The 12,248-nt window shown below is 48.3% G+C and overlaps 1 protein-coding gene across 2 annotated transcripts in view, besides 2 other annotated features; it reads right to left on the bottom strand.

The window, feature by feature from the left end:
* Positions 1-11,072, bottom strand: part of CLIC6 (chloride intracellular channel 6) — a 49,230-nt gene extending 38,158 nt beyond the window's left edge. For both annotated transcript variants that reach the window (NM_001317009.2, NM_053277.3), the window contains exon 1: positions 9,304-11,072. In NM_001317009.2, coding sequence (NP_001303938.1) covers positions 9,304-10,677 — 1,374 coding nt within the window. In that variant the 5' untranslated portion in view covers positions 10,678-11,072. The remainder of the gene's footprint in view (positions 1-9,303) is intronic.
* Positions 9,360-9,439: a silencer, noted in NCBI's record as "silent region_13272". NCBI's record gives its function as "represses an Ori minimal core promoter by ATAC-STARR-seq in GM12878 lymphoblastoid cells {active_cell/tissue: GM12878}" and the evidence as "EXISTENCE:reporter gene assay evidence [ECO:0000049][PMID:35858748]".
* Positions 10,340-10,779: a silencer, noted in NCBI's record as "silent region_13271". NCBI's record gives its function as "represses an Ori minimal core promoter by ATAC-STARR-seq in GM12878 lymphoblastoid cells {active_cell/tissue: GM12878}" and the evidence as "EXISTENCE:reporter gene assay evidence [ECO:0000049][PMID:35858748]".
* Positions 11,073-12,248: the final 1,176 nt, after the last annotated feature.

Genomic DNA, 12,248 nt, shown 5'->3' with positions numbered 1-12,248 from the left:
TACAGAAGGGAAATGTAGGGTCAGAGCCCCCACACAGAGTCCCCACTGGGGCACTGCCTAGTAGGGCTGTGAGAATAGGTCAACCATCCTCCAGCCCCCAGAATGGTGGATCCACCAATAGCTTGCACTGTGCACCTGGAAAAGCCACAGACACTCAACACCAGTCCGTGAAAGCAGCCAAGAGGGATGCTGTACCCTGCAAAGCCACAGGGGTGGAGCTGTCCAAGGCCACATGGGGGCCCACCTCATGCATCAGTGTGACTTGGATTGAGACATGGGATCAAAGGAGATCATTTTGGAACTTGAAGGTTTAATGACTGCCCTGTGGAATTTCAGACTTACATGGGACCTGTAGCCCCTCTGTTTTGGCCAACTTCTCCCACTTGGAGTGGGTGTATTTACCCAATGCCTGTACCCCCATCGTATCTGGGAAGTAACTAACTTGCTTTTGACTTTACAGGCTCATAGGTGGAGGAGACTTGCCTTATCTCAAATGAGACTTTGGACTTGGACTTTTAGGTTAATGCTGGAATGAGTTAAGACTTTGGGGAGACTGTTGGAGGGGCATGATTGTGTTTTAAAATGTGAGGACATGAGATTTGGGAGGGGCCTGGGTGGAATGATACGGTTTGGCTATGTCTCCACCCAAATCTCACCTCGAATTGTAATAATACCCAAGTGTCAAGTGTGAGACCAGGTAGAGATAATTGAACCATGAGAGAAGTTTCCCCCATGCTGTTCTCGTGATAGTGAGTGAGTTCTCACCAGATCTGATGGCTTATAAGGAGCTTCCCCTTTCACTTGGCACTTTTCCTTCCTGTTGCCATGCAAAGAAGGATGTGTTTGCTTCCCCTTCTGCCGTGATTGTGAGTTTCCTGAGGCCTCCCAGGCCATGCAGAACTGTGAGTCAATTAAACCTCTTTCCTTTATAAATTATCCAGTCTTGGGCAGTTCTTCACAACAGCGTGAGAACAGATTAAGCAACTCAAAAATCCCATCTAAGCAACTCACAAATTCCTGACCCTGGAAAACTATGAATAATATAAAATGTTTGTTGCTTTAAGATTCTAGGTCTTGGGACAATTTGTTACACAGAAATAGATAATACATTGAGGATATGTTTGAACTTGCATAGAATATCTCTGGAAAAATATTTGGTGGTTATCTCTAGGGAGAAAAATTGGGAGGTTGGGCTTCATGGGCGAAAGAAGACTTAATTCTCATTATATTATATCTTTTTATGTTTCTAAATTTTACTATTCCAATGTATTATCTTTTCCAAAAAAATGGTAAGTAAATTTTACAAAATAATCCCATGGACTACATAAATATGTTATACTAAAATTTGTATAAATACATTTAACCTACATTTTATGTTGACTTTATATAAATCAAAATTTTTATGGTTTTTGTAGGCAAAAAACAACCATTTCTAACAATATATAGATGTTTAGTGTCTTAAATATTTCTTATTCACTGTGAAAGAACCTGCCAGTTCTTTCTTCTACAACAGTTATCCTTTTTCCTTCTAAATCGAACTCCAATTTTGTATGAATGGCATTGTATCTAGCCCCAGATGATGAATAAAAGTAGGTATAAGCTAGGAATCGGTAAACTTTTTCTTTTTTTTTTTTTAGATGGAGTCTCTCTCTTGCCCAGGCTGGAGTGCAATCTCGGCTCACTGCAAGCTCCACCTCCTGGGTTCACGCCATTCTCCTGCCTCAGCCTCCTGAGTAGCTGGGACTACAGGCACACGCCACCACGCCCGGGTGACTTTTTTTTTTTTTTTTGTATTTTTAGTAGAGACGGGGTTGCACCGTGTTGGCCAGGATGGTCTCAATCTCCTGACCTCGTGATCTGCCCGCCTCAGCCTCCCAAAGTGCTGGGATTACAGGCGTGAGCCACCTCACCCAGCCAGAAACTTTTTCTTAAAGGGCCCAGTAATAAATATTGTGGGCTTTGTGGTCCACAGAGTCTCTGTTGCATCTACTCAACTCTGCTGTTGAAAGTGAAAGGAGTCATACAGGATACATCAAAGAACAAGCATGGCTGGGTTCCAAAAAAAAGTTTGTTTATGGGCCCTGAAATTTGAATTTCATATATTTTTCATGAGTCATGAATTATTCTTCTTTTAATGTTTTCCAACCATTTAAAAACATAAGTCATTCTTAGGTTGTAGGTGTACAAAAACAGGTGGCAGGCTAGATAGGACCTGCATGCCACAGTTTGCTAACCCCTGGTATATATACGCCAGTCTCATACCCTTGTGCTTGTAAAAGGCCTGGAGGGGGTTGGGGCACAGAATCCAGTTCTAGCCATTAGACACAGAAAAGTCTGCTGCAAGAGTTGTCAGGAGCATTTCTCCTCCCTGATGAAGGAGGAATGGGAATAAGAAGAAAAATCCTGACCCTTCCCTTTAGTTTCCTACTTGAGATATTGCTGGTCAGGATTTGGTGCTTAAGACTAAGGCATCCATTTTTTGATGATACAGGGAGACAGAACACAAGGAACTAATCTGAGCCCTTGATGACATGGGTAAGATGCTTTATCCACCTATCTCTGGATTTCTTGTTGTATGAGAAAAATATATTTCTGATTAAAGGCACTTGCTACTGGATAGTTTATTAATTGCAGCTGAACACACTCTTAATGGTGTTCTCTTCAACATTAAATACCATACTGTAGTACCAGCTGGGGCAAAAGTATTCTTTATAACAAGCTCTTAACATATACCAAATTGTTAGCCCATTTGCCACCTAACTTGAGAGCAAAGTTTTGAAAGCTTGGCAGAGCAGATGGTCCCCCATGCAAGAGCAGGAAAAAACAATAAGAGACTGTCTTAAATTCAAAACTGGGAAATTTTCATAGCAGCATTAAATGAAATAGATTTTATACCTAAGCACCAACAGCTCCAAATTAAAATGCTGCTTTCAGAAGGAGGAAGTGGGGCTGTCAATACAAGCACGGATTTTAGCCGAAGATGGACTTGGATACCGTCTCCCTGTGGGGAGGAGAAAAGGGCTGACAAAAAGCATGGGGGTGGTCTTTTGGAAACTCTCTATATTGTGAAGAAAATGTCTCCCCCAACTATGCCCAGATATAGGGCCCACTTTATAAATCAACACTCAGGCAGAAAAAAAAAAACAAAATTAATGCTGGAAAATTTTAGAAGATTTGAATACCTTTATAACTCTCACAAAAACTTTTTCTTTACTAATATGACAGGAGTTCAGAGAATGATAGACCAAAGATCACCTGTTTTAGAAAATCCTGAAGAATCTATACTAGGCATTATCAGAGGATCCCACTACTCTGTGGACTGGAAAGGAAAATGGTTGTGTCTCCCCAAATGTAATTAAATCAACAACTATTTAGTGATTACCACTGTGTCTGCAGGTCCTCCTGCTGCTGCTGCATGCTCCTATGGCCTGCTGCTCATCGTCCATCCCCCTTCCCTTCATACCATCATTAACTGGCTGGCTGTTATGTGTCAAACAGCATGCAAAGGGCTGAAAGAACAATGATGGGAAAAACTACATGGTCTTTGCAGTGCAGGCTTGCAGCCCAGTGGAGATGCTACAGACATAATGTACTACATTGCCCAATGTCTGTCTTCTGTGCTAGATGGTAAACTCTGGGAGGGCAAGAAGCTTGTCAGTCCTGCTTACCAATGTGTCCCCAGAATCTAGCACAGAGTCCAACACACAGTAGGTAATATATCCATATGTATTGAATTAATATATGGACCCATAGCATGAGGATCCCTCTGAGCCCTCAAGCATGGATTGGAGTGTTGGCTTTTACATACTCCTTCCACTTCTAGGTTTTATCTAGGTGTCCGAAAGGACACAATACATTCACATGACTAAAGGACCCAGTGTAGTATTTCTGAAGGTTTTCTGTGGGTCTTTAGATATTCAAGGAAATGGGATATCTGAGTCGGCCCGACAAAGGCTGGCTGTGTGAAACCAAGGACACAAAGGAAACCCCATGTGAGGGGAGGAACCCGTGCTGAAGGTAAAGAAACATAATTGCTCTCATGAAGCCACATGGCCTGTCAGCCCAGACAGAGACGGGAGCTGTGATGTGTGCACATGGCAGGAAAGAGCTTCAAATTCCCAAAGCCACCAGCATCCTGTAACCCTGCTGCCAAGAGGCCTTCATGGAAAAAGGTGGCTCTGTTTCTCTCACAAGGGACACTGGGCTGGGACAGTGGAGAACTGGGCTTGTGTCTTACCAATTAGCCATCCACCCGACCCACTATTTATCTGCACCAAAAAGCACAGTGGAGGGCCTGCCATGAGCCCACTGCAGTGGCAGGTGGTGAGAACCGAGAGGCAATGACGATAGGGCTCTCACTGAGTGTGGCAGGGGTATCCCCACCCCCAGCATGCATGTGCACACCTGCACCTGTTTGTATGCAAGAGGTTACGCAAAACATCATGCTCCACCTGTTTCCACCCCCAAGTAACCCGGTACTGATTTCATATGTGTAATTTGTAGGCAGGTTTTCTAAGACAATAAAAAAAAATTACAAAAAATTTGTTTTTAGGGGAGAATTAAAGTCTCAGAAATGCATCTTTGCTCACTTTCCTTCAGAACACATAGTTGTGAAAATAACATCTCCCTTTCAAGCTCCCTGGAGACCAAGCCCCATAGAACAAGTCCCAACATGCTCTCTCCCAGTGACATGTCCACAGAGAGCCACAGCTTACCGTTCTACCAGGAGTCCATCAGACGCTGGTCCTGGCTCATTCTTGCCCAGCCCTGTGGTATGGCAATGCTTGGAAGGCTCTTTTTTTTTTTTTTTTTTGGAGGGGCGGGGGCTCATTTCTGGGTGACAGTGCTTATTCAAAGGCCATGTCCTTCTTGAGTTTTACTGTGTTTCATCGGGTCAGTTTCACCTCTTTGGAGAACCCAAATGTGAATACAAATGCAAGTTTTTTTAGCTCAGCAATAACTGCATGTTTACAAGTAAACAGGTGGTGTCTAAATCCTGGGTGGCCCAGGACTAATCACTGGTCAACACTGAAGTTTTTTAAGTCATGTCAAATTTGCCAGGAAAGCCGTAGCTCAGACTGTCCCACCCAAAGACCCTGACTCAAAGCTTACACGCCAGATTAGGGGAACCAAAGCCGTAAGCAAGACTTCCTTGGCGACTAAATCTCCACTACCGCTGAACTCCTTACTTAAATGAAGTTCTTACTTAACTCTCTGCTGCTAGTGTTTTGCCTGTTGTTATTATGTTGTTGTGTGATTATGTGATTATGTTGTTACCCTTTGTTATTATGAGGAAAGAAAAAGAACCTTTCTTACTAAATATATTGCAGAGTTACCCTATAATTTGATGACAAATAATTAACACTTCTTTGAGAAAACAAAACTAAAAATTAGCATAATCAGCAATTAATTTACCACAAAATAATTTAAGACCTTTCTTGGCTGGTTCTATATGTTCCTGGCTTCTGTACAAGAATGCATCCTTGCATGCTTGTAAAATAAAACAAACTGACAAATTAATAACATGACAATTCTCATAAAGATGGAGAATATATTAGATGGCTAATTAGAAGCAAATGTGGGACAATTATTATTACATGTTACTACATAGTTAGCCATGACTTTCTGGTATATTTGTAACCAATATATTTATTTTTAACAAAATAGGAAGAGAGGCCAGGCATGGTGGCTTGTGCCTATAATCCCAGCACTTTGAAACGCCAGAGTGGGAGGGTCACTTGAGCCCAGGAGTTCGAGACCCTCTGGAGCAAAAAAGTGAGACCTCTGTCTCTACAAAAATTTTTTTGAAAAAACTAGCTGGGTGTAATGGTGTGTGCCTGTGGTCCCAGCTACTCAGCAGGCTGACACAGGGAGACTGCTTGAGCCTAGGAGCTGGAGATCAGCCTGGGCAACATAGTGAGACCCTGTCTCAAAAAAAAAATTGGAAGAAATGTGAAAGCTAGGAGTTCCCAAATAAAATATGGGCTAACTGATTTTAAAATGTGTTTGCTCAGCTGTCATATGAAGGCTAGGAGAATGTTTGAGAGAATATTGCAGTACTTTCCTTTAAACCCAGCTGTGAATTCCACACTCCAGCTATGCCATACAAAACCCACCATGAAGACGCATCTAGGCATGTTCACAAAACCCAGCTCAGGTGTCCACTGTAGAATAGAACCCAGACAAAACTGAGCCCAAAAAAGGAGCCTAGAAAAGGCTAATTCTGGCAAAGAAATCCTATTCTGAACTAATTTCCAGATTTTACATCAAGTATTTCAAACTCAGAAAATATGAGTCTAAAGGGTGTTTTTTTGTTTGTTTGTTTAGTTTTGTTTTTTGCTTTGATGTCTGTCTTTTTTGTTTTTGTTTCATTTTGTTTTCAAAGAGCATAATTGGTAGGATAAGAAGAAACTGAGACACAATATCAATACTGTGAGGCTCATGATAAGTGACCCCTCAGAAGTTAACAAATCTCAGCCAGGTGTGGTGGCTCAAGCCTGTAATCCCAGCACTTTGGGAGGCCACGGTGGGTGGATCACCTGAGGTCAGGAGTTTGAGACCAGGCTGGCCAACATGGCGAAACCCCATTCTACCAAAAACACAAAACAATTAGCCAGACGTGGTGGCGCATGCCTGTAGTCTCAGCGACTCAGGAGGCTGAGACACAAGAATCACTTGAACCCAGTCTGTGGAGGTTGCAGTGAGCTGAGATAGCACCACTGCACTCCTGTCTGGGTGACAGAGCAAGAACCTGTCTCAATTAAAAAAAAAATAAAAAAGTTAACCAATCTCATCATTTGGAGATCTATCTGTTTCCTTAAGAAAAAAAAAAGTTAGCAACTGAGCACCAGATCAATCATCAGAATAAAGCATTGTGGGTAAGCTGCTCGTGCTGGGCCGCTGCTGGTGCTAGGCCACATGCTTCTGCCCACACAAACTCCTCCCAAGCAGTATTTGAGGAAGCAAGTTGTTTTTACTTTTCACAACATTCTTATCCCTAGAGATTGGAGGTAATTACGTACCTAGAGGGATTTTCCCTAAAAATAAATAAAATAAGTAATGGCAGGGATAACTGTTTCTGTGCAAAATCAGTGCAAGTTATGCGAGCAGCACAGATGTAACAATAGGAACTCACATGTGTACTAAGCTTATTTCCAGCCAGGCACTTTTCTAAGTGCTTTGTGTAATCTAATTCTCAATTTCTCACGGTAACCTCAAGGGCTAGGTACTATTACCGTCCCCATTTTATCAATGAGACCACAATGATACCAAAAGATTAAGTAACTTGCCCAAGGTCACACGGCAAGAAATTAGCAAAGCCAAGATTTGATCCCAGACCCACTGGCTCTAAAGTCCGTGTTCTTGATCACCACACTATCCAGCAGCTAGCCGCCCATTCAAGCCTTCACCACATCCCACACCTGTGTTCTGCGCTGGAGATAGAATGATGAATTTCACACAGCTGAGGAAAGAGACATAGCAGGCTGAGGGCAATGCCTTAACAGGGTCATCCGACTGGGACTGGAAGATATGACATCCATGCTAACTCTTGGACTTGTGGCAGATAACTAGGCAGGAGGGCAGACAGGGGCGAGGAGGAGAAACTCCATTCAGACAGAGGGTACATAATGTAGAAAGTTTCAAGGCAGGAAAGAACGTGGCTCCCTCAAGGAACAGTAAGTAGTTTAATCCAGGTGGCATAGCGAGACCACAGGTAACAAAGGGTGGGGACACCCAGCAATGCCAAGGCCAGAAAGAAAGAAGGCAGAAATAACATCACAAAGGGCCTTGTGGGCTGCCTAAGGAGTGGGGATTTACCTGAAATTCTGCAATAAACAACTGAAGAATTTTACACAAAGAAATAAAATGATCAGATCTTGTCCGCAGCTCACTGGCTATTACAAAGAGACTAGATTGGAGAGGACAGAGAACTGAAACAGGGAGACTAGCCAGAAGCTGCTACTGTCCATCAAAACTGTGCTAAGAGGCCGTGTGCCAGAATCATGTATCCTTACAACCACAGCAACGGGAAATTTCTAAAACCAAGGTGATGGAGAGGAGCAGATTTGGGGTCACACAGCAGCACTGCGCTCCAGCTCTTCCCAGCAGCCTCTCAGGGGCTGGTGTCCTGAGGTTATGTCCCAGGGTCTTGAAAAAAGCCAGAAACAGCACCTTCTCACTAGGGAAGAAACACACACACACCCCTTCTTTCCCAAGCCCCTCGCCACCCAAACAATTCTTAAAATTCTGATGTTAATCACATTGGGAGCATTTCCTTTTACTTATTAAAATGTGCTTGCATTTCAGCCAGAGAGATTTAGATGGTAACTGGTTTCTATAAGCCTGGAAGTATTTCTGAAGGATTATGATTCAACATGAAATGCACATTCTTGACCTTATTATCTCCAACTTTCCTGGGTCTGGCCAAAGGTCCTCAGAAAAGGCTTTTTAAACAAAGATCCTGGTGTGAACTGCTGCTGAGCTTTGTTCTTTCATTTTTCATGCCTTGTAAATAATTCCTGTTTAAATTCAAAACTTCCTCAGTTGTGTCTCTACAGATTCCTTCACAGAATCCTTGCTCTCTTCCCATGTGAACTGAGGTTAAAAACATGACATACAAGCAGATGATGTTCAAGTCACCGGCATCTTGTATTCTTCCAAATTCAATGTTAAAACGTTCAAAAAACATTATGTCAATAAGGCTCCATTCCCCCCTAAACGTACATTGTTGATTCTACCAAAATGGAATACCTTTTTGGAGTTGAAAACATTGACCAGCTCTGGGTCTCCGAGATTGAGTCTGGAAGGCACCTCCCACATTGAACCTACCTGTCTGCGTTTTTTGGCTTCAAGTATTAAAGCTTCCTTTGGCAGAAATCCCTTTGAACACCAATAGGGTGCGTTGCTTTTCTTCTTCTTCTTCTTTTTTTTTTTTTTTTTTTTTAACTTTTTAGTTAATTCGTTAATAACCTCCTGACTAGGAGGGCTGGTTAGGATGTTCAGGTCAAAGGACAGTGGGATGCTGAACCCACAACCCCACATCCTCATTGGCCCCCATCGCACTCCCCGTCGCCCCCACCCCCAAAGTCTTTGCTTCCAAACCATTGAGTCCTCCCGCAAATGCCCTGGAAACTCTTCTCCGGGAAATCCCGGCTGTCCCGCCTACCGCCCGCGCATGGAAGCGCCTGATGACAATCAGGATACCACCAAGGGTTCCTCCCTGCGCGTCCCTCTGGGATCTGAGATGACCAAGACCTCGAATGGAAGGGGGTCGTCCTAAGAATTGAGGGAAGCGAGCTTTACCTTGACGAAGAGGGTGATGTCGTGCTCCTGCCCCAGGGCCCGGGGCTCGGACGCCTCTCCGTCCTCCCGGCGGCCGTTCACGCGCGCGGCCTCGCCGCTACCCTCGGCGGGGCCCTCCTCGGCCAGGTGGTTGCTGAGCTGGGCCTCAGGCTCCGCGGCGCCCCTGGAGGCCTCCCCATGTGGGCTGCTGTCGGGGGATTCCTCTTCGCCCCCCGCTGCTTCCTCCTCCCTTGGCCCCTCCGGGCTCCGCTCTCGTCTCTCTTCGTCCTCCCCCGGCTCCTGCTGTGGCCCATCCCCTACCCTGTCCTCGCCAGCGTCTGCCCTTGCGTCCCCGGGGGCCGCTTCTTCGGACCCCTTTACCCCCGGGACCTCCGCCTCCTCCGCTGCGTCCCAGGCGAGCTCACCGGGGCTGCGCCCCGCACTCTCCCCGGCTGCGACCTCAATTGCCTCGGCCTGGGGCGAGAGGCTGCCGTCCCCCGATTGCTGCGGCTCACCCGAGACCCGGCGCGCCCTTCCTGCCGGACCCTCGGCGTCCATGCTGTCCCCCGCCGGGCCTTCGGCTTCTACGCTGTCCCCCGCCGGGACCCCCGCTTCTACGCCGTCCCCCGCCGGGTCCCCCGCCTCTACGCTGTCCCCCACCCGGCCCTCCGCGTCTACGCTGTCCCCCGCCGGACCTTCCGCGTCTACGCTGTCCCCCACCCGGCCCTCCGCGTCTACGCTGTCCCCCGCCGGGCCCTCGGCTTGTATGTTGTCCCCCAGCGGGCCCTCCGCGTCTACGCTGTCCCCCGCCGGACCTTCCGCGTCTACGCTGTCCCCCACCCGGCCCTCCGCCTCTACGCTGTCGCCCGCCGGGCCCTCCGCTTCTATGTTGTCCCCCAGCGGGCCCTCCGCGTCTACGCTGTCCCCCGCCTCCCCGGACGCGCTACCTTCCGGGACCTCAGGCCTCTGCTCCGCCTCCTCCTGCCTCTCGGGGGCCGCAGAGTCCTCGGGCTCCCTCTGAGCCTCCCCGCGGGGCTCGCCCTGCGCGCCGCGTCCCGGGCTCGCCCCCTCCACCTGCTGCGCGCCGCTTGTCTCCTCCCCTCCTTGGGGCACCTCGGCACCCTCCGGGGCTCCCTCCTCGGCCTCAGTCTCGCCGTGCGCCCCCCTCGTGCCCCGCGCCTCGGCCTCCGGGCCCCTGTCTGGCCCGCCGCCTCCTGCCTCCTTCACAGCGGCGGCGCCCCTCGGCGCCTCCTCTGCGCCCTCGCTCCCCTCCGGCCCTTCTGCCTCCCCGCCCGCGGCTCCTGGCTCTCCGGGTCTCTCAGCCAGAGGCGCGGGGACCTCCGGCGGCCCCTGGGGACCCGGGGCAACCCCCTCCGGCTCCGCGGCCTCGGCCATGGCCGCAGATCCCTGTCCTTGATCGGGACTCCTTCCTTGACGCTGCTTAAGGGTCGGTGGCGCTGGGCAAGGGGCGTGCTACGGGGCCCTCTGTGCTCCTTGAAGGACGCCGGCTCCGGGATCCTGCGGCAAAGGTTTAGCCGGGGCACTGGGGCCTTGCGCAGGACCCGCAGGGCAAACTCCGCTTGGCCCCAAGCCTCTGCGCCCCTTCTGCCCAGCTGAAACTCCCTGGACTCTTCCTCCACTGCTGGAGCTTCTCCCCGATTGCGCGTCTGCTTCCCACCGGGACCCCAATCTCGCCCGCGGGCCGCGGAGGTGCAGTGCACGGCTGGAGAGGGCTGCTTCGCTCCTGCGCCTTTGGAAGTGCCCGGCCCGCTGTCCGCTGTCCTGGGGTTGACCAGAAGTCCTTGGTGCCAACTCCATCCCCTGGGGCTTGGGCGGGGTTTGTCTTCCCCTCCTCCCTCCTTTGTTTGGGTAGCCTAGGAGCTTGGCCAATGACAGCCTTTCTCGTGACCCTTGTGGATGTTGATGAAAAGATTCTGGTTCTCCTGGCCGCTTGGGTGTTGTTCTCTAGAATGGCTTCAAGTTCCAGAGTCACTTAAATCACCCCCTCCAAACACACACCCCGACACCCAAACACCTAATCCCCACCTTACCCCAGGAGTGAAGCATCAAGCTCCCCCGGTACCCAACTGAAGATGTCCACATTGTGCCTGATGTCCAAGAGCAAGGGTGTAAATCCCTGAGAGAAGAAGCTGGGGAGGCTACGCTGGCCGCCTTCCCATGTCTGCAGGGCCCCCGGAGAGGTTCCAGAGGCCCCTCATATAGACGCACAAGGAGCCAGTCGAGTTTCTCTGACCAGAGATGGGCGCTGTTGTCCATGAGGGTCCGCTTCTCCGGGCCTGTCTGGAGGATCGTGGGAGCCCTGCGCTGGAAAAAGGTTACACCTTCATCTCCCGGGTCTCTTAAGACTGTAAGAGTCTGTGTATCTTGCTGATTCTCCTAGATTTCTAAACTCACCACCAGTGCTTCTGCCTCCAAGTTAAGAGCTTGGGAATCTGGAGGTGGAGAAAAGAAAATCCAAGATGTGAAAGAGGGGAGCTATGGAATTCCCTGGGTTAGGGTTCTCCCAGGATCACAGACCCAATACCTACTTTAAAAAGGAAGTTATTATGGTGAAAAGTATGTCGTAAGTTTATTATAAGCCAGGCTACTTCTAGTGGGTTACCAAGAAACTGGGTTACCCAAGGTGGCACTATGTAAATGTGGTGGAACGGGGATCCCAGCTCAAGACTGACTTGATTCATCAGGCTTTATATGGCTTTGATATTGGCCTAAGATACATGAGCCCCTCATGCCCACAGAAGGTTGTTTTCGTTGAAAGAGCTGGGTGTGCCTTTGATGTGGCTTGGGGTCACACCTTTGGCCATGAACATAATGTGTCTCCTTCTACTTCCCATTGCTCATCACTGATGGATGACAGGACAGGAGCCCAGAGACACTCAGCTTCATGCTACCTTTCTCCAAGGCTGTGCTCTGTCTGGGTAGGTACAGGCCAGAAGCTTCATCAC

The sequence above is a fragment of the Homo sapiens genome, chromosome 21 (assembly GCF_000001405.40).
Source record: "Homo sapiens chromosome 21, GRCh38.p14 Primary Assembly".
Taxonomy (NCBI): Eukaryota; Metazoa; Chordata; class Mammalia; order Primates; family Hominidae; genus Homo; species Homo sapiens.
The sequence above is the reverse complement of the archived record's forward strand: the minus strand, read 5'-3'. Positions and strand labels throughout refer to the sequence as shown.